Source organism: Homo sapiens, chromosome 15, assembly GCF_000001405.40.
Source record: "Homo sapiens chromosome 15, GRCh38.p14 Primary Assembly".
In the NCBI taxonomy this organism is placed as follows: domain Eukaryota; kingdom Metazoa; phylum Chordata; class Mammalia; order Primates; family Hominidae; genus Homo; species Homo sapiens.
Window position 1 is genome coordinate 23061868 of NC_000015.10, and position 20447 is coordinate 23082314.

A 20447-nucleotide genomic window follows, 5' to 3' on the forward strand; every position below is an offset into this window, starting at 1 on the left:
AGAGGTGTCCTTGAAGATTTCTAAAATGCCTCTAGGGCTTTCCTGCATTGTCTTGACTATTAGCACCTGGCTCCCTTTTGTCTCTGCCTATGTCTCTAGCAAGAGATTGCTCCACTGCCCCCTTGAATTCCTTGTCTGAAAATGCTCTTTCCTTTCCTACCACATAGCAAGGCTGGAAATTTTCCAAATTTTAATGGTTTATTTCCTTTTTAATTATAAATTCCACCTTTAAGTCATTCTCTTACTGTCAAATCTGGTCATAGGCTGTTAAAAAGCAGCCCTGCTGACTGGGCACAGTGGCTCATGCCTGTAATCCCAGCACTTTGGGAGGCCAAGGTGGGCAGATCACTTGAGGCCAGGAGTTCAAGGCCAGCCTGGCCAACATAGCGAAAACTCATCACTACTAAAAATACAAAAATTAGCCAGGCCTGGTGATGTGCACCTGCAGTCCCAGCTACTCAGGAGGCTAAGGTCAGAGAATCACTTGAATCCAGGAGGCGGAGGTTGCAGGGAGCTGAAATGGTGTCACTGCATTCCAGCCTGGGTGACAGAGTGAGACTCTGTCTCAACCCCCCCCCCAAAACAAAACAAAACAAAACAAAAAACAAACAAACAAAAAAACCCAGCCATGCCACTTCTTGAACACTTTGCTGCTTAAAAATTTCTTTCGACAGATACCCTAGGTCATCACTCTTGTTTGTCCTTCCATGAATCCTTGGGGTATGGACACAATGCAGTCATGTTCTTTGCTATGGTGTCACAAGTGTGACCTTTGCTCCATTTCCCAATAACTTCCTCATTTCCATCTGAGACCTCATCAGACTGGACTTCACTGTCCATATCATTATGAGCATTTTGGTCACAACCATTCAACCAGTCTCTAGGAAGTTCCAAACTTTCCCTCATCTTCCTCTCTTCTTCTGTGCCCTCCACACTCTCCTAACCTCTGCCCATTACCCAGTTCCAGAGCTGCTTCCACATTTTCAGGTATCTTTGTAGCAATGTTCCACTTCTAGGTATCAATTTTCTGTATTAGTCCATTCATGCATTGCTATAAAGAAATATCTGAGACTGGGTAATTTATGAAGAAAAGAGGTTTAATTGGCTCACAGTTCCACAGGCTGTACAGGAAGCATGATGCTGGCATCTGCTTGGCTTCTGGGAAGCCCTCAGGAAGCTTCCATTCATGGCGGAAGGCAGAGGTAGAGCATGTACTTCACATGGCCAGAGTAGGAGCAAGAGACAGTGAGGGGAGCGGTGCTATACACTTTTAACCAGAGTTTATGAGAATTCACTTACTATTGAGAGCACAGTACCAAGATAGATGGTGCTAAACCATTCATGAGAAAGTGCTCCCATGATCAAATCACCTTCCCATCAGGACCCACCTCCAACATTAGGGATTACGATTCAACATGAGATTCAAGGACACAGATCCAAACCATATCATGCTCTGTAATTCTTTCTTTAGCTTGGCCTATTCTGCTGCTAATGCTTTTGATTGTATTATGAAATTCTTGAGGAGGAGCCAAGATGGCTGAGTAGATGCAGCCAGGAGGAATATTCTCCCACAAAGATACTGGGATATTGAGAGAGACTGGCACACTCTGAGCAGCTCTTCAGAACAAAAGTGTTGAGAGTGGACAGAGGGAGGACACAGATGCTGGACTGAAGGGGGAGTATGCTGGGAGCCCTACACGGGGTTTCTGAGCACCAGGACTTGTTGCTTGCTCCTAGCATCTCCTGGGGAAGGAGTAAACTGAACAGGTGAGGAGTGGCCTACTCTCACCATGAACCTCCAGAATCCTAGCTGCAGGAGACCCCACAACCCCCATAGACATCTGAGCTGACAGGAAGAGCTGCCTAGACAGGTAGTAGGGGCAGGACTCCAGCCTGTGCAGAGCCCAGAGGGTTTTGGCATGGGAATGGCTACAGTGGAGCATGGCCAGTGACATCCATCCCCCAAGGTTCGCCATGCTCCTCTGGGAGATTTTAGCCTTAGCATGACTGTTGGACCTGGACAGAGCAGGATGGTCTTGCCCTTGGTCTTGCTCAGTCTGATCTGAGTGCCCCCTTGTCTGCTGGCCTCTCCTGAGGTCCCAGCCTGGCCATGCCTGCTTGCAGCACAGCCTTGGATGCCCAATCAGCGTGCTTCCCAGGGACCCTCATCACAGCTCCCTTGCTGGTGGACTGCACCTAACCTTTTGGAAGCTCCAGCAGACTGACCTCTGCTGATGCACACCAGTGTACCCACGGCCTCTTCCCCCACTGCTTTGTCAGCACACTCGCATGGGCAGATCTTGCCTACCATGCTGGTGCATGTGTGTGCAGGTATTACACCATGCCACTGCTACTGGCATGAGTGCACCCTGCTGCTCTCCACCCCTGCGGATGTGTGGTCACTCTGCCATGTCACCAGTGCCAGTATGAACATGTGCACAGACACTGACAACCCTGCCCCTTCCACACCACTGCAATCACCAGTGCAAACGCATGCACGGACACTGGCAATCCTGCCCGCATCATGCCACTGCTGTTGCTGGTATGAATGCACACGTGGACACCAGCAACCCTGCCCCCACAAGTTCCCTGTCCCTGCCATGCTGCTGCCAGTGTGAGAGCATGTGCAGGAATGCTGCTGCCCTGCTCTCACCAGTGCCCCTCCCCAGCCAATGTGCATGCACCCCACTGTGCTGCTGCAGCTGCTGACATGCATGAGTGAGCATAAATCCCACTGCCATTGCCCCAATGAAACACTTTGGCTGACACCCCCCATTGGAGTGTTGGGGGTCAGTGGACCAGAAACACCTTGGCCCCTCTAGTCCGGCAAATTCCTAAATCAAGGGGCCAGAGAAGAAAGCTGGGAGCCCAAAACCAGTGCCCCAGAGTTAGAGCAGTTAGCCCAGGAGTGCTGAGCTAAGCCTTAGCCCCCCTAAAATGATCCAGAAACAAAATCAGTCAAATGAACCCACCTTACATCACAATCAAACCCCAAAGGGCATCACATATACAAGCAAAAAAACCCATCCAAAGGAAATAACTTCAAAGATTAAAGGAACATCAGCCCCACACATAAGGGAAAGAATCAGCGTAAAAACTATGGTAATTCAAAAAGCCAGAGTGTCTTCCTACCTCCAAATGACTGCACTAGTTCCCCAGCAATATTCTTAACCAAGCTGAAATGGCTGAAATGACAGACACACAATTCAGAATAGGAATAGGAATGAGGATTATCGAGATTCAAGAGAAAGTTGAAACCCAACCCAAGGAATTTAAGGAATACAATAAAATAATACAGGAACCAAAAGATGAAATGGCCGTTTTAAGAAGGAACCCAAATTGATCTGATGTAGCTAAAAAATTTATTTCAATAATTTCTAAATACAATCACAATTATTACTATTATTATTATTATTATTATTATTGAGACAGAGCTCTGCTACCCAGGCTGGAGTGCAGTCAGGGGATCCCGGCTCACTGCAACCTCTGCTTCCTGGGTTCAAGTGATTCCCCTGCCTCAGCCTCCTGAGTAGCTGGGACTACAGGCACAGTACACCACACCTGGCTAATTTTTGTATTTTTAGTAGAGATGAGCCTTCACAAACTCCTGACCTCAGGTGGTCCACCTGCCTTGGCCTCCCAAAGTGCTGGGATTACAGGAGTGATGGGTCTGGCATGGTGGCTCACACTTTTGATCCCAGGACTTTGGACGGCCGAGCGCGGAGGATCGCTTGAGCACAGAAGATTGCTTGAGCCTAGGAGTTCCAGACCAGCCTGGGCAACATGGTGAAACCCGGTCTCTTTTTAATTTTTTTGAGACTGGGAGTTTCGCTCTTGTTGCCCAGGCTGGAGCGCAGTGGCATGGTTTTTGCTGGCTGTGGCCTCCGCCTCCCAATTTTGGGTGGTTTTCCCTCAGCCTCCGGAGTGGCAGGGATTGCAGGCATGAGCCACCATGCCCGGCTCATTTGTTTTTTATTTTTTTATATTTTTAATTTTTATTTTTTGGTACAGACGGGTTTCTCCCTGTTGGTTAGGCTGGTCTCAAACTCCTGACCTCAGGTTATCTGCCTGCCTCGGCCTCCCGGGTTGCAGGCGTGAGCCACCGGGGTGCTGGGATTGCAGGGGTGATCCACCACGCCTGGCCCACTTTATTAATCGGAAAGGAATAGATCGGCCTGGCACGGTGGCTCACGCTTGTGATCCCAGGACTTCGGACGGCCGAGGGCGCGCGGATCTCATGAGCCTAGGTGTTCCAGACTGGCCTGGGCAACATGGTGAAACCCGGTCTTTTTTTTTTCGAGGTGGAGTTTCGCTCTTGTTGCCCGGCTTGGAGTGCAGTGGCCCGGTCTCAGCTCCCAGCGGCCTCCGCCTCTGGGTTTGGGTGGTTCTCCAGTCTCAGCCTCTGGAGTGGCTGGGATTGCACGCGTGAGCCACAATGCCCGGCTCATTTTGTAGTTTTTTTGTATTTTTTGTTTTTGTTCTTTGTTGGTACAGACGAGGTTTCTCCATGTTTGTCAGGCTGGTCTCAGACTCCCGACCTCAGGTTACCCGCCAGCCTTGGTCTCCCGGGGTGCTGGGATTGCAGGTGTGAGCCACCGCTCCCGGCCCAATTTATTAATCAGAAAGGAATAGATCGGCCTGGCGTAGTGGCTCACGCTTGTGATCCCAAGAATTTGGACGGCCGAGCGCGGCGGATCGTTTGAGCCAGGAGTTCCAGATCCGCCTGGGCAACGCGGTGAAACCTGGTCTCTCTTTTTTTTTTTTTTTTTTTTTGAGACAGCGTCTTGCTCTCTTGCCCAGGCTGGAATGCAGTGGCACGATCTCAGCTCACTGCAAGCTCCGCCTCCCGGGTTCACGCCATTCTCCTGCCTCAGCCTCCCGAGAAGCTGGGACTACAGGCGCCCGCCACTACGCCTAATTTTTTTGTATTTTTTTTAGTAGAGTCGGGGTTTCACCGTGTTAGCCAGCATGGTCTCGATCTCCTGACCTCGTGATCCGCCAGCCTCAGCCTCTCAAAATGCTGGGATTACAGGCGTGAGCCACCGCGCCCGGCTTGTTTTTTTTTGTTTGTTTGTTTTGAGACGGAGATTCACTCTTGTTGCCCAGGGTGGAGTGCAGTGGCGCAGTCTCGGCTCGCCGGGCCTCCGCCTCCCAGGTTTGGTTGGTTCTCCTGCCACAGCCTCCCGAGTGGCTGGGATTGCACACTTGAGCCATCATGCCCGGGTCATTTTTTTTTTTTTTTTTTTTTTTGGTGGAGATGGGGTTTCTCCATGTTCCTCAGGCTGGTCTCAAACTCCCGACCTCAGGTTATCTGCCCGCCTCGGCCTCCCGAGTGGCTGGGATTGCAGGCGTGAGCCATCGTGCCCGGCTAATTCCCTAACTGTGCAATTGCAAGGTCACTAAACAAACTCAACAAAACGTATTTTTCCTTAAATAGTAAAAAATAATATAATGCATATTTCAATTAATTATCTTTGTTTCTCGCTTCTGTATTATGCTTCCCCCTGCACAGATCTACCCCCGCCCCACAAAATGCTTAAAAGATAGCCCTTGGTTCCAGAACTCAATGCTTTAAATGTTAAGCTGACTGGGCCAGTGCACCTAAATAATATCCTCCTAAACCCCATCAGTCTCTCTAATTCCTTAAAAATCCCGCTACAGAATTGCAAGCCTGAGACACCGCGCCCGGCCCAATTTATTTATCAGAAAGGAATAGATAGGCCTGGCGTGGTGGCTCACGCTTGTGATCCCAGGACATTCAACGGCCAAGCCCGGCAGATCCCATGAGCCTAGGAGTTCCAGACCGGCCTGGACAACATGGTGAAACCTGGTCTATTTATTATTATTATTATTAATTTTTTTCTTTTTTGAGGCGGAATTTCGTTCTTCTAGCCCAGCTGGAGAGCAGTGGCGTGGTCTTGGCTCCCCGTGGCCTCCGCCTCCGGGTTTGGGTGGTTCTCCAGCCTCAGCCTCCCTAGTGGCTGGGATTGCAGGCGTGAGCCACAATGCCCAGCTCATTTTTTTTTTTTCTTTTTGGTACAGATGGGGTTTCTCCATGTTGGTTAGGCTGGTCTCAAACTGCCGACCTCAGGTTAACTGCCCGCCTCAGCCTCCAGGGATGCTGAGATTGCAGGCGTGAGCCACCGCGCCTGGCCCAATTTATTAATCAGAAAGGAATAGATCAGCCTGGCGTGGTGGCTCACGTTTGTGATCCTAGGACTTTGGATGGCCGAGCACGGCGGATCTCTTGAGCCTAGGAGTTCCAGACCCTCCTGGGCAACATGGTGAAACCTGGTCTTTTTTTTTTTGGGTGGGGGGCGGAGTTTCGCTCTTGTTGCCCAGGCTGGACAGCGGTGGCAAGGTCTCGGTTCGCTAGGCCTCTGCCTCCGGGTTTAGTTGGTTCTCCTGCCTCAGCCTCCAAGTGGCTGGGATTGCACGCATGAGCTACCATGCCCGGCTGATTTATTTATTTATTTATTTATTTTTTGGTACAGACGGGGGTTTCTCCCTGTTGGTCAGGCTGGTCTCAAACTCCCGACCTCAGGTTACCCGCCCTCCTCGGCCTCCGGGGGTGCTGCGATTGCAGGCATGAGCCAGGGCGCACGGCCCAATTTATTATTTTTATTATTTTTTTTCGAGACGGAGTCTCTGTCACCCAGGCTGGAGTGCAGTTGCGCTATCCCGGCTCACTGCAACCTCCACCTGCAAGGTTCAACCGATTCTCCTGCCTCAGCCTTCTGAGTAGCTGGGATTACAGGCGCCCGCCACACACTCGGCTGATTTTTTTGTATTTTTGGTAGAGACGGGGTTTCATCATATTGGCCAGGCTGGTCTCGAACTCCTGAACTCAGCTGATCCACCCACCTCAGCCTCCCAAAGTGCTGGGATTACAGGCGTGATCGGCCTGGCTTGGTGGCTCACGCTTTTGATCTCAGGACTTGGGATGGCTGAGCGTGGCAGATCACTTGAGCCTAGGAGTTCAGACCGGCCTGGGCAACATGGTGAAACCAGGTCTCTTTTTTGCTTGTTTTTTTTGAGAGGGAGTTTCGCTCTTGTTGCCCAGGCTGGAGTGCAGTGGCGCAGTCTCGGCTCCCCGCGGCCTCCGCCTCCCGGGTTTGGGTGGTCCTCATGCCTCAGCCTCCCGAGTGGCCGGGATTCCAGGCATGAACCACCATACCCGGCTAATTTTTTTTTTTTTTTTTTGGTCCAGACGAGGTTTCTCCATATTGGTCAGGATGGTCTCAAACTCCCGACTTCACGTTACCCAACCGCCTCGGCCTCCCGGGGTGCTGGGATTGCAGGTTTGAGCCACCGCGCCCGGCCCAATTTATTAATCAGAAAGGAATAGATCGGCCCGGAGTGGTGGCTCACGCTTTTGATCCCAGGACTTTGGACGGCCGAGTGCGGCAGATCGCTTGAGCCTAGGAGTTCCAGACCTGCCTGGGCAATATGGTGGAACCTGATCTCTTTTTTTTTTCTTGAAGCGGAGTCTCGCTCCTTTGCCCAGGTTGGAGGGCAGTGGCGCGGTCTCGGCTCGCCTAGGCCTCCGCCTCCCAGGTTTGGGTGATTCTTCTGCCTCAGCCTCCTGAGTGGCTGGGATTGCGGGCGTCAGCCACCATGCCCGGTTAGTTTTTTATTTTTTATTTTTTTGGTAGAGATGCGGTTTCTCCATGTTGGTCGGGCTGGTCTCCAGCTCCTCACCTCGGGTGATCCGCCGGCCTCGGCCTCCCGGGCTGCTGGAATTGCAGTCGTGAGTCACTGCGCCTGGCCCGAAACCCGGTCTCTTAACGGAAAAACAAAACAAAAGCCACAAAGATTAGCCGGGCGTGGTGGGCCCCGCGGGTAGTCCCAGCTACTCCAAAGGCTGATGCAGGAGGATTGCTTGAGCCCGGGGGGTGTGGGGGGGTGTGGTGGGGGGTGGAGGTGGCAGTGAGCCATGATGGCCCTGCTGTAGTCCAGACTGGAGGACAGAGCGGGACTGTGTCTCAGGAAAAGGGAAAGGAAAAAAAAAAAAAGAAAGTATATAAAATTGTTAAATCAAGGAGCAGCTGGACAGTGTATTACTGAGAGAAGTAGAGGCAAAGGTTAGCGGACACCAGTGGTCACTTAGTGGAACTGCAGGTGCTCCCCGACAGGAGGCTGCTACTCTTCCCAAAGAACTCTATTATTGACTTAAAAAAAAAAAGTTGTAGGTTTGTTACAATATACAAATAGCTAAACTTTATATAGCCTCAACCCTCTTCTAGCACTGCTCTAAGCCTTTTCCTGCTCTGAAATAGCTACTATTGTTACCTTCATTGTAGGTATGCCAGAGGTTGTTGTGGAAGGACCAGGGAAACTGACTATGAAATTGACTTGCAAGTTTCAGACTTAAAGGTTCTTCCTGCTCTGCTTCTTACATTGCCACATTTTAGTTAACATATCTCTTAAAATACTGGTCTTTTCTATATTTGGAGGGACTCCTCTTGCAATTTGAAGTTTTTTCTTGCACTAAGCATTTGGTCATAAGATCGTCTGTGTTTTATGTCAGTTTAAGTTTAGACATTGTTCAGTTAGGAATGTAAATATGAGCAAACAGGTATCTGATTGAAATAGATAACCTAGAAAAAATCACTTATGAAAAAGTCAAGAAAATGTGAACTCTGGATTTGCGGCTATTTTCAGAATGTATTAATTTTTTGGTATTTAATGGCATTGTGAATATATTTTTAAAAATTCTTTGTCTTCTACAGATACATATAAGGTAATTAAAAAATGATATGATGTATAGTTTTCACTTCAAAATAATTCAGAGGAAGAAGGAATGTATATAAATGAAGTGGGAATATAAATGAAACAAAACTGGCTGTGGCCAGGTGCGGTGGCTCACGCCTGTAATCTCAGCACTTTGGGAGGCCAAGGTAGGCGGATCACTTGAGGTCAGGAGTTCGAGACGAGCCTGGCCAACATGGTGAAGCCCTGTCTCTAATAAAAATATAAATAAATAAATGAATTAGCTGGGCGTGGCAGCAGGTGTCTGCAATCCTAGCTACTCGGGAGGCTGAGGCTGGAGAATTGGTTGAATCTGGTGGGGCGGGGGGGAAGTTGCAGTGAGCCAAGATAGCGCCACTGCACTTCAGCCTAGGCGGCAGAGCAAGGCTCCATCTCAAAAAAATTAAAATAGCCTTTTGGTGTGGTGGCAGGGGTTGTACTTGACAATAATTCTATGTGAGAAGGGCCATGATTAATCTGTAAGTGTTTAGAATGATTTAAGTATAAGTCAAGTTCATAGAGACCTTCCATTTACTCATAGGTCATTTTTGTTTTATTCAGTGATGCAACCATTATTTTACATGGTCAAAAAAGATATTGACCCCATATCATGTATTATAATAGATATGTTCTAGGTAGCAGAGATACAGCTATGAACAAGACAGTCAACATCTCTGCTGTCATGGAGTTAGCTTACAACTAATGTGGAAGTTAGAAACAAAAAAAGTTAATATGACATGCAATGCTAGGGAGAAGATTAGAGCAGGTTAAGGGAAGAAGAGGGGTGGAGGCCCTGGATGATAGGAGATAGAGTTGTCAGGAAAGACTTGGAGGAGGAGATAACAGAGCATGGCCTGAATAAAGTGAAGATGGAAGCCATGTGATGAGCTGGGGGAAAAGCATTCCAAGAGAGGGAACAGCAAGTCCAAAGGCACAGAGATGAGAAGAAACTGTTCACAGAATGAGAAATTAGTATGTGAGACTCAAACAGTAAGTTGGGGGAGAGTAGGAATAGATTAAGTCTGAGAAGTAAAGTGCGAGATCATCTAGGGTCTTGTAGACCATGGTAAAGATTTTGTGGCCTGGCACAGTGTCTTACGCCTGTAATCCCAGCACTTTGGGAGGCCGAGGCGGGTGGATCACGAGGTAAGGAGTTCAAGACCAGCCTGGCAAAGATGGCGAAACCCTGTCTCTACTAAAAATACAAAAAAAAATTAGCCAGGTGTGGTGGCACGCGCCTGTAATCCCATGTACTCCAAAGGCTGAGGCAGAGAATTGCTTAAACCTGGAGGGGCGGAGGTTGCAGTGAGCCGAGATCGCGCCACTGCACCCCAGCCTGGGCGACAGAGCAAGACTCTGTCTCAAAAAAAAAAAAAAATTCATCTCTAAGCTCCCCACCACTCTAAAGATGGGCCATATTGGCCGGGTGCGGTGGCTTATGCGTATAATCCCAGCACTTTGGGAGGCTGAGGCAGGCAGATCACTTGAGATCAGGAGTTTGGGACCTGCCTGGCCAACATGGTGAAACTCTGTCTCTACTAAAAATACAAAAATTAGCCGGGTGTTGTGGTGCACACCTGTAGTCCCAGCTACTTGGGAGGCTGAGGCAGGAGAATCTCTTGAATCTGGGAGGCGAAGGTTGCAGTGAACCAAGATCGTGCCACTGCATTCCAGCCTGAGTGACAGAGGGAGATTCTGTCTCAAAAACAAGAAACAAACAAAAGTCAAATGGATTAGAGAAATGAGAGGGGTAGATAATTCACTCACACAATAAGTAGTTATGGAAGGCCTACTATAATGTTACTATTTTATAACTTACAATTTATTGAGCACTTATATGCAGACATTCTGCTAAGTGTTGTACATTTGCAGTGATCTCACTTCTCACAACAATCCATTAAGGCTGGTACTGTTATTCTCCCCATTGTACACACAAGGAGACAGGCTCAGAGAGATCTAGTAACTTACCCAGGGACAAACAGCTGGTAAATAGCACAAAGGTCTATAAGGTTACAAAGCTCAGGATATCTGCTATGCTCTCCCACATGCCAGACACAATTGCATTTGTGTAATCATGACATTCCACTGCAGGAACTCCTCCTATTTGATCCCAGCCTGAAAACAGGGCACCTGAACTTAGTTGCCCACTGGGAGCAGCTGAGGTGGAGGAAGAGGGATCTGCAACTTTGCACTCCTGTGCAGTCTTGGTGGAGCTGTCCATCAAGGTGCCTGCCCTCCTTAGCTAAAGTGTGGACATGTTACCTGAGCTCAGCCAATTGAACCCTTGCTCCAGGGACTTTGACTCATCAAAGAAAGCTCTGGTCAAGAAAGGGAAAAAAAACATGGAATTGATTCACTTGCCTGCCTAAACTCTCAAAACATCTCCGCTTTCTAACCTTTTCTAAGCCTGATTCTCCAGCTTCGTGTTACCTCTGTGAGTTAGACACTAGCCTGCCAATAAAATCCTTTTCAGGTAAAGTTAGCCAGAATTGATTCTTAAGACTTGCAATCAAAGAACTTGCACTGGCAATATCAGCAAAAGAAATTACACAGTCTTGTAAAGCTTAAGTGAGTGACTCATTCCTTGGATAAATGTGTATTAAGCAGGGTCAGGACTAGAATGAAGCAAAGTGAGGCACCCAGGGTACAAAATTTAAGGCTTTCTTCCTCAGTGTTGTGTGAGTGCAGGGTTGGCTCTAACAGCCCTCCCTGCTATCAAAATTAGTAATAAAAAGAACGGAGAAGATCATTTCTTTTTCACATAAGAGTATGAAGTGAGTGTCCCAAGTCGGCAGGTAGCATTCGGCACCTTCTGTGCTGTGGCTCTGTCCCCTAGCACGTCATCATCATCATCACAAGGTCAAGGCTGGGCCAGCCAGTGAGAAGGAGAAAGAGTAACTCCTGCCAGAGCTTTAGCAATGTTAGCTATGGCTAAGCCTCAACCTCCCCAAGCCTCACTTTATTCACCTGTAAAATAGGACTAAGAAAAATCATCTTTAATTCCAAGATGTTTTGAGGATCAAATGAAACAACATGTAAAACTGCTTTGCAGACTGTGCAGTGCCCTATAAGCGGTAGTCACTATGTAGTCTCTTTGCTGAGTATCAGTTTATCTGCAAAGTGACAACTGAATACACACCTCCCAGGATTGTTGTAAGAATCTGCTAGACGAACGATTAAAGTATAAACTTTGGAATCCAACAGGAATAGGTTGGCGTTTTGCTCTGCCCCTCACCAGCTGTAAGATCTCGGACCCTCTGTGAGCCTGTGTCCTCATCTGCAGCGAAGGGATCAGGGTGCTCCTCCATCACAGGGCTGCTGTGAGCATGAAGAGAGACAGCAGGAGTGAGTCCTTGGCGCGGTGCCCAGCCTTGTTCCGATCCGCAGGTGCAGTGACGAATGCCACCTCCGGGATCCCTTCCAAAAAGCACAGCCGGGTTGTACCCTTCTGCCTCTGCTCAGCGCCCACGGTCAGCCCCACTCGGTGTGAGCAGAGCGGCTGCTCACAGCCTCTGACACGAAAGTCACTCCCACTCAGTTCCCCAAACCACAGCTATCCCCACTGTTGAGTGTGCGGTAAGTGCCCGCTGGGCACAGGGCGGAGTGCCACCAGACGACCGCTTAGAGCTCACAACCTATGATTTAACGCAGGGAACCAAAGCCTTTTCCTTCATTCTAAGACTGCATACCAAAAAGAAAAAAAAAGTTTGGGGGAAAAATAAAGCTGCCTCTTGCATTTGGAAGGAAATCACGTTCCTTCAGACCCCGTGCTGGCGGGGTCCTTACTAATAGAAGGAGATCATCTTTCACTTCCTTCCTTGAGATGGATTTTCCAACCCTGCTGTCAGACTCCAGCTCCGTGAAGCAGCAGTCACTGTACGGGTGATTGATAAAGCTCCATGGGGTCTTCTGTAACAGTGCTGATTTTATAAGCACACCTTCTAGAAGCCACTTAGAGACTGCTCTATTGGAGACACTAATGTTCCTATTTTTCTATACTTTTCCCAGCTCTATATTTGAGAAACTGGCCTTTTATTCTTAATGACTTACAGTAAAATTGTCTTCAGGTCAGTGTGTGCCTCTCCTGTTTTGTAGCATTTTGATTTTCCAAATCATCCTTATATCTGTAATGCTTAAAGAGGGGTGGAAGGGAGAAGGGTGGAGAGTTGTTTAATCTGGAAGGGGCCCTCTGGGCCTTGATGTGGAACTAGAGCTCCTTTATTCTGGTGGTTTGCGGTTGAGCTACAGTACTGCTGAGTGGTGGAGCAAGAGGCCATTTATAACCCTGAGAATTTTGCAATGTTATTGAATTCCTTCTACCTAATTTCCACTTCCTTTCTGGAATGAAAATGAAGAGAGTAAGCAAACATGTGCTGGGAGGGTTCCCTACAAGGATATATTTTATCCTGGGAATCTTATCTGGAGAATAGAATTACTTCTAGTCTCCTATCTCCTGATGTTTCTATTCCATAGGGAGAAAAGCAGAGAGATGTTTTCCTCTTTAACTAGAGTTAGGTGTGCTAACCCTGATTTTTCAGTAAGAATTATTCTAATGTTTGATATGAAAACAACAGTTCTTTAATTTAATTTTTATTTTTTAATAGAGACAGGATCTTGCTCTGTCACCCAGGCTAGAGTTCAGTGACATGATCATAGTTCACTGCTGCCTCGAACTTCTGGGCTGAAGCGACTCTCCTGCCTCAGCCTCCTAAGTAGCTAGGGACTACAGGAACATGCCACCATGCCCAGCTAATGTTTTATTTTTTTTGTAGAAACAGGTCTCTAACTCCTGGCCTGAAGTGATCCTCCTGCCTTCACCTCCCAAAGCATTGGGATTACAGGTGTGAGCCACTGCGCCCAGCCAAAACAAACTGTTAAACAATGAAAATACTTTGTAGTGAAAGGGTATTGGGACACAGAGGGAACACCAGACAACCTGCGCAATTCATGCCCATCCCTGTCCATTTGGAGCCAGCTTGGTTCCAGCTTGGAAGAAGTCAGAGTCATCGGGTTTAAGCAGACACAGGTGCTTACTGAGCCTTCGCTGGACACCAAGTGTTGTGCTAGGTTGACACTGCAGAGTTATACCTGTCCTGGAGGAGGAGCTAGTGGAGATATGTAAATATGTAACTATAATAGAGTATGACAAGATCACACTCGCTAATGGAAGTATGAACAGGATGCTGTGAGAACACAGAGGCCCCTGTCCTATTTAGTTTTGCCAGGAAAAGTTAGAGAAAGCTAAGACTAGTACAGGGAAGAGGTAGCATCTGATCTGAACTAGGCTTTGATGCTTGAATAGGAGCTGTTCTGACAGTCAGTAGGAGGAAGAGAATATGCAAAGGTACAGAAGAATTGAAAGAACACGGCCTTATAGAAATAGCAGGTAGTCCAGGGAAGAGTCTGGCTAGATTGTAAAGGACCAAATAGCACACAAGGGACCGTGGCCCACCTGTAGACAGTGGAGTGCTATCTTTTGATACAATGGTGAGTTCTTGTGAAAGTTTCTTAGCCTCAGTGTGCTTTGGTTTCGGATACACAAACCAGAAATTGCCACAAAGCACCTGCTGCGGGTCAAGTGCAGAGCCACCTGCTTTCTCATGGCTTTCCAGCAATACCAGATAACCTGGGATCAAATTCTGGCTGTGCCACTTCCTAGCTGTGTGACACTGAGCCTGCTACTTAACTCTTCTGTGCCTCTATTTTCTTGTCTCTAAAGTGGGGATAATAACATACCACACAGCGTTGCTGTGCAGATTAAATTAATTAGTATATATAGAGCCTTTAAAATAGTGCCCTAGCATTATGTAATTGTTAGCTAATGTCATCATGTAAGGAAGTATTATGTAGAGGGATCAGTCCTAAGACCTTGGCTTCAGACCCAGTTCTGAAGTGTTGGGTTGACTTACTGTTCTTTTCCCTCCCTTCTTTTTTTTTCTTCCTTCATTTGGGAGGGAGGTGTAGAAAGAGGTACATGGAGAACAAGTTTGTCGATCCATCTGAACTTCAGTTGCCTTACCTGTAAGATAGGAATGTTTTTCAGAGTTCTTATGAGCATCAACTAAAATAATGCTATAGAAGTGAGCAATCAACTATAAAGAGGCTACCTGGGCTGGGCATAGTGGCTCACGCCTATAATCCCAGCACTTTGGGAGGCTGAGGCAGGTGGATCACCTGAGGTCAGGAGTTCAAGAGCAGCCTGGCCAACATGGTGAAACCCCGTCTCTATTAAAAATACAAAAATTAGCTGGGTGTGGTGGCGAGCACTTGTAATCCCAGCTACTCGGGAGGCTGAGGCAGGAGAATCGCTTGAACCCAGGAGGTGGAGGTTGCAGTGAGTGGAGATCGCGCCATTGCACTCCAGCCTGGGAGACAGCGAGACTCCATCTCAAAAAAAAAAAAAAAAAAAGGCTGGGCGCGGTGGCTCACGCCTGTAATCCCAGCACTTTGGGAGGCCAAGGCAGGCTGATCACGAGGTCAGCAGATCGAGACCATCCTGGCGAACACAGTGAAACCCCATCTCTACTAAAAATACACACACACACACACACACACACACACACACACACACACTACACACACTAGCCGGGCGTGGTGGCGGGTGCCTGTAGTCCCAGCTACTCAGGAGGCTGAGGCAGGAGAATGGCGAGAACCCGGGGGGCGGAGCTTGCAGTGAGCAGAGATCGCGCCACTGCACTCCAGCCTGGGAGACAGCGAGACTCCGTCTCAAAAAAATAAATAAATAAAAATAAAATAAAAATAAAGACGCTACCTGTACGTTACTATTAGATATACGATTACTACGAAGTTACTGTATAACTGATCTGTTGCAAACAAATCAGACTTACCTAGTGGATAAGAGCAAACCTGTGGATTTTGCTGTCATTAATTCAGCCATTGTTAATTAAGTGCTTACCCAGAACCATCATCTTATGCCAGTGATGCTGCTGTCTGCTCAGACCTCCATTTTAGAGTTCCTGCAGAACTTGGGGGCAGTTTTGGTCTTAGGCTTATTAGTTGCAATGAGTAGATACATAGACTAGCTTAATTTATAGGAGTTTTATTGGCAGGATACAGTGGACTTTCAGGTACCCCAAGCATAGGAAGTGTAGCCACGTAATCGGGAAAGTTACCAGGTAATGGCTTTTCTCATCTTTCTGATTTCTGGCCTCAGCTCATTTATATATTTCTGGATTCCTCTTGCAGAATCACTTCCTCTGAAAGGCTCTTGGTTTTTTATTCTCCGTATTTTTGGCTTATGCGAATCTTTGGCTTGCCATGGTAACTGCTCTGAAGCTTACTATGATCTTACTTCTCCAGGGCCCGTTATCACCCAGTTCCCTTAGTCTGTGTCTTTTGTTTGTTTGTATGTATGTATGTATGTATTTATGATGGAGTGTCACTCTGTCGCCCAGGCTGGAGTGTAATGGTGCAATCTAGGCTCACTGCAACCTCTGCCTCCCAGGTTCAAGCGATCCTCCCTGCCTCAGCCTCCTGAGTAGTTGGGATTACAGGCGCCTGCCATCACGCCCAGCTAATTTTTGTATTTGTAGTACAGACGGGGTTTCGCCATGTTGGCCAGGCTGGTCTTGAACTCCTGACCTCAGGTGATCCACCTGCCTCAGCCTCCCAAAGTGCTGGGATTACAGGCGTGAGTCACCACGCCTGGCCAATCTGTGTATTTTAAATTCAAGAGAAAGAATTGGAATAATTCAGCTAAAGTTGGGTATTCACTTTGGTCCCATCAGCTATGGCAGGGTTGTGGAGAGTGTCATTCAGTTCAGATAGGCTGCCTGGGCTTTGTGGGAAGGACAGAGTCACTGAGAATGGGGGCTTATTAATATCTTTCAAATAGTTCAGTAGTTGCAAATCTCCATGCTTTAAAATGTATATGAACTTTTGAACAGCTGAGAATCATTCAGTGCTAACTTTAATAAACAGAGCATCAACCTAGGATATGTCATATGGGGTCAAGAGAAAATAATAGGTATAACATAATGAGCTTTGGCTTAATTATCTCCAAAGATGGTTTTCAGAAAGGAGTTAAAAATAATGTGGTTTGTTTCTTAGCAGCACCATCGAAATTAAGGAAGGGTGTAACTTCATTTGGTGAGGACTTTAAAATGGGCATCCTCACTTGGATTTTTAAAATTCCACTTAAGAATCATGGACTTTTAGACTTAGAAGTCACCTGAGACATGCTTTAGTTCTACACTCACGTCTTTCTTTCTTTCTTTTTTTTTTTTCGAGACGGAGTCTTGCTCTTTCGCCCAGGCCGGACTGCCGTGGTGCGATCTCTATCTCGGCTCACTGCAAGCTCCGCCTCCCGGGTTCACGCCATTCTCCTGCCTCAGCCTCCCGAGTAGCTGGGACTACAGGCGCCCGCCACTGTGTCTGGCTAATTTTTTGTATTTTTAGTAGAGACAGGGTTTCACCATGTTAGCCAGGATGGTCTCGATGTCCTGGCCTCATGATCCGCCTGCCTCGGCCTCCCAAAGTGCTGGGATTACAAGCATGAGCCACCGCACCTGGCCTACACTCACATCTTTCAATAGAAGAAAACTGAGATTTGGTTAAAGGGGCATGTATACATCGTGAAAGACCTAGGATTGGGTCCTGAGGCCTTTGGCTCTAAATACAGTCACTTTTTTCAGCAGGGACAATTATCCATCCCTCAATAGAAGAAAACTGAGATTTGGTTAAAGGGGCATGTATACATCGTGAAAGACCTAGGATTGGGTCCTGAGGCCTTTGGCTCTAAATCCAGTCACTTTTTTCAGCAGGGACAATTATCCATCCCTCAATAGAAGAAAACTGAGATTTGGTTAAAGGGGCATGTATACATCATGAAAGAGCTAGGATTGGGTCTTGAGGCCTTTGGCTCTAAATCCAGTCACTTTTTTCACCAGGGACAATTATCCTAGCCCAGTGCTCTTTCTGTTGTGCCTTTTGTACCTGCTTATTTTAAAAATAAGAAGAAGCCAAATTGAAAAACAAATGATCTAAAAAGTCATATTGTATAGTTCCGTTTATATGGAGTACAAAAACAGGCAAAACTCATGGATGATGATAAGAAGTCAGAAATTCCCCTTTAAAGGACTGAAAGGATTGACAGGAAGAGGAAGTATGAAGTAATTTTCTAGGGTGATGAAAATGTTCAGTGTCCCGTTTTGAGTGGCGGTTACAGGGAGATGCATGTGTTTATGTCTATTATGTATATGCATACAAACATATGTACACTTAAGCCCTCTGCATTTTATTGTATGTAAATTATATCTCAGTTTTTAAAATTGACCTCACAACCATGCAGTCCTAGTCTACTAATTGCAGCCGCTTTGCCGATAAGGATAAGGACGCATCTCTAGGCATCCAGAGATTGATGGCGCCACCCCTGGAACGAGAACTCCCTGCCCTGCTGTAACTGCAACAGAGCAGTCTCCCCAGAAATTATGCTGATAGGGCCAGTTTCTTTTCTGAGGTTTGTTGTGTGTCTAGGCATGTAAAAATTACTGTGAAAAATTCTGCCACAAGCCACAGAAGTTATGGAAGCTTTGGGGGCCATAAGGCCAACCCACTTCAATCCCTTTAGGCTGCGTTTAATTGCAGTGGACAGAAGTTGAAGCTGGCTCAGAGGAAAAGGGGAAAGCACTGGCTGAAGCCAGTCCGAGTTCTGTCCCCTATTATGACTTACTAGCTGGGTGACCTTGGGCACTTGACAAAACACTGAGCTTTAGTTGTGCCATCTTCAAATGCAGGTGATAATCCTCTTCTGCCTAATTCATGGTGCTGCTGGGAGGACACAATAAAGTAAGTGAAAGCACTTTGAAAACTAGTTCCTTTACATTGTCATGGTCTGGAAATGCTGGTTTTTTATGACAGTAGACTTCTGAAGCATCCCATCCTGACTAGGAAATGGTCATGAAAGCATCCCTCTTTCTGAGGCCGGGGGGCTTGTGGGGGACAGGACTTTTACTCCTTTTCATCAAAGAGGTTTATACTTATCAGGCTGTGAGAACTGGCATCTGTGTTTAGGCTGAAAAATTGATAGCATACGTGCATAATAGCCTCACAACAGCTATGCTTTGTATGCCAGGAGAGGCAGGTGGTCCCCATAAGCGAGACATGAATTGTGGGTGAATGGCTAAATCTGGAAGATGCAGAAAGGTCTTTTTCATTAAGAGAGAGCCCTCTCCTGGCCAGGAGCGGTGGCTCACGCCTGTAATCCCAGCACTTTGGGAGGCCGAGGCAGGCAGATCATGAGGTCAGGAGATCAAGACCATCCTGGCTAACACGGTGAAACCCCGTCTCAACTAAAAATACAAAAAAATTAGCCGGGCGTGGTGGCGGGTGCCTGTAGTCCCAGCTACTTGGGAGGCCGAGGCAGGAGAATGGCGTGAACCCGGGAGGCGGAGCTTGCAGTGAGCCAAGATCGCAGCCACTGCACTCCAGCCTGGGGCGACAGAGCGAGACTCCGTCTCAAAAAAAAAAAAAAAAAAAAAAGCCCTCTCCTGAACCTGTAGGCAAGGAGTGTAAATATACATCGAAATAATCCATCAGCCAAGTGACTTCCCTTCGTCAGACCTTGGAGAGAGAATGCTTTAGTTACTGCTTGGAATACCAGTAAGCTATCAGAGTTGCCTAGGATACCAGTCACTTGGGCCCATCTTCCAGACTTGCTCAAGATAATTTATTTTCCTTTATTTTGGAGAGAAGTGGGGGAGGTGGTCAGAGGTACTTGCAAAGCCTTGTCCTTATAAGACGGGCCCTTGTGTGAAGATATCTTTATCTCCCTCCACTTGAGTTGTCAGCTGCTATTGCCCTTGGCAATAGGGATGAAAATAGCATTTCCTGTCCCAGTTCTCTTCCCCATTTTCTGATGTCATCCCACACAGAGGTGGCTTTGCATAGTGTCCTTTGAGGGGAAAGCAGTGGCATTGATGAGTGCGAGGGAAGCAAGAGAGCATGTAGCTGTGCCCCGCTGATGCTGGGATCTTCCTAGGATGACTGCAGAACAGAAGGAGCCTGGCTCCTCCAGCTAACCACTCAACCAAGAAAAGCCTGGCTATTCTTATCTGTTTCGGAGCATATGCTTCTCTCCTAAAGGGGGCCAGCGCCTCCACACCTGTGGGTATTTCTTGTCAGGTGGGATGAGAGACTGAGAAAAGAAATAAGACACAGAGACAAAGTATAGAGAAAGAACAGTGGCCCAGGGGACCGGCGCTCAGCATACGGAGGACCCGCACCGGCACTGGTCTCTTGAGTTGCCTCAGTATTTGTTGAGCACTATCTCTACCATCTTGGAGAGGGGGATGTGGCAGGACTATAGGGTAATAGTGGGGAGAGGGTCAGCAGGAAAACATGTGAGCAAAGGTCTCTGGGTCATAAATAAGTTTAAGGAAAGGTGCTGTGCCTCGATGTGCATGTAGGCCAGATTTATGTTTGACTCTACACAAACATCTCAGTGTAGTAAAGAGCAGTATTGCCGCCAGCATGTCTCACCTCCAGCCACAAGGTGGTTTTCTCCTATCTTAGTAAATAGAATGTATGATCAGGTTTTACACCGAGACATTCCATTCCCAGGGACGAGCAGGAGACAGATGCCTTCCTCTTATCTCAACTGCAAAGAGGCCTTCCTCTTTCGCTAGTCCTCCTCAGCATAGACCCTTTATGGGTGTCGGGCTGGGGGATGGTCAGGT

At 47.5% G+C, this 20447-nt stretch overlaps 2 annotated features.

Moving 5' to 3' along the window:
- Positions 7558-8059: an enhancer, noted in NCBI's record as "NANOG hESC enhancer chr15:22803142-22803643 (GRCh37/hg19 assembly coordinates)". NCBI's record gives its function as "activates a minimal SCP1, AML or CMV promoter by ChIP-STARR-seq in primed H9 embryonic stem cells {active_cell/tissue: H9 hESC(primed)}" and the evidence as "EXISTENCE:reporter gene assay evidence [ECO:0000049][PMID:30033119]".
- Positions 12256-12766: an enhancer, noted in NCBI's record as "H3K4me1 hESC enhancer chr15:22798435-22798945 (GRCh37/hg19 assembly coordinates)". NCBI's record gives its function as "activates a minimal SCP1, AML or CMV promoter by ChIP-STARR-seq in primed H9 embryonic stem cells {active_cell/tissue: H9 hESC(primed)}" and the evidence as "EXISTENCE:reporter gene assay evidence [ECO:0000049][PMID:30033119]".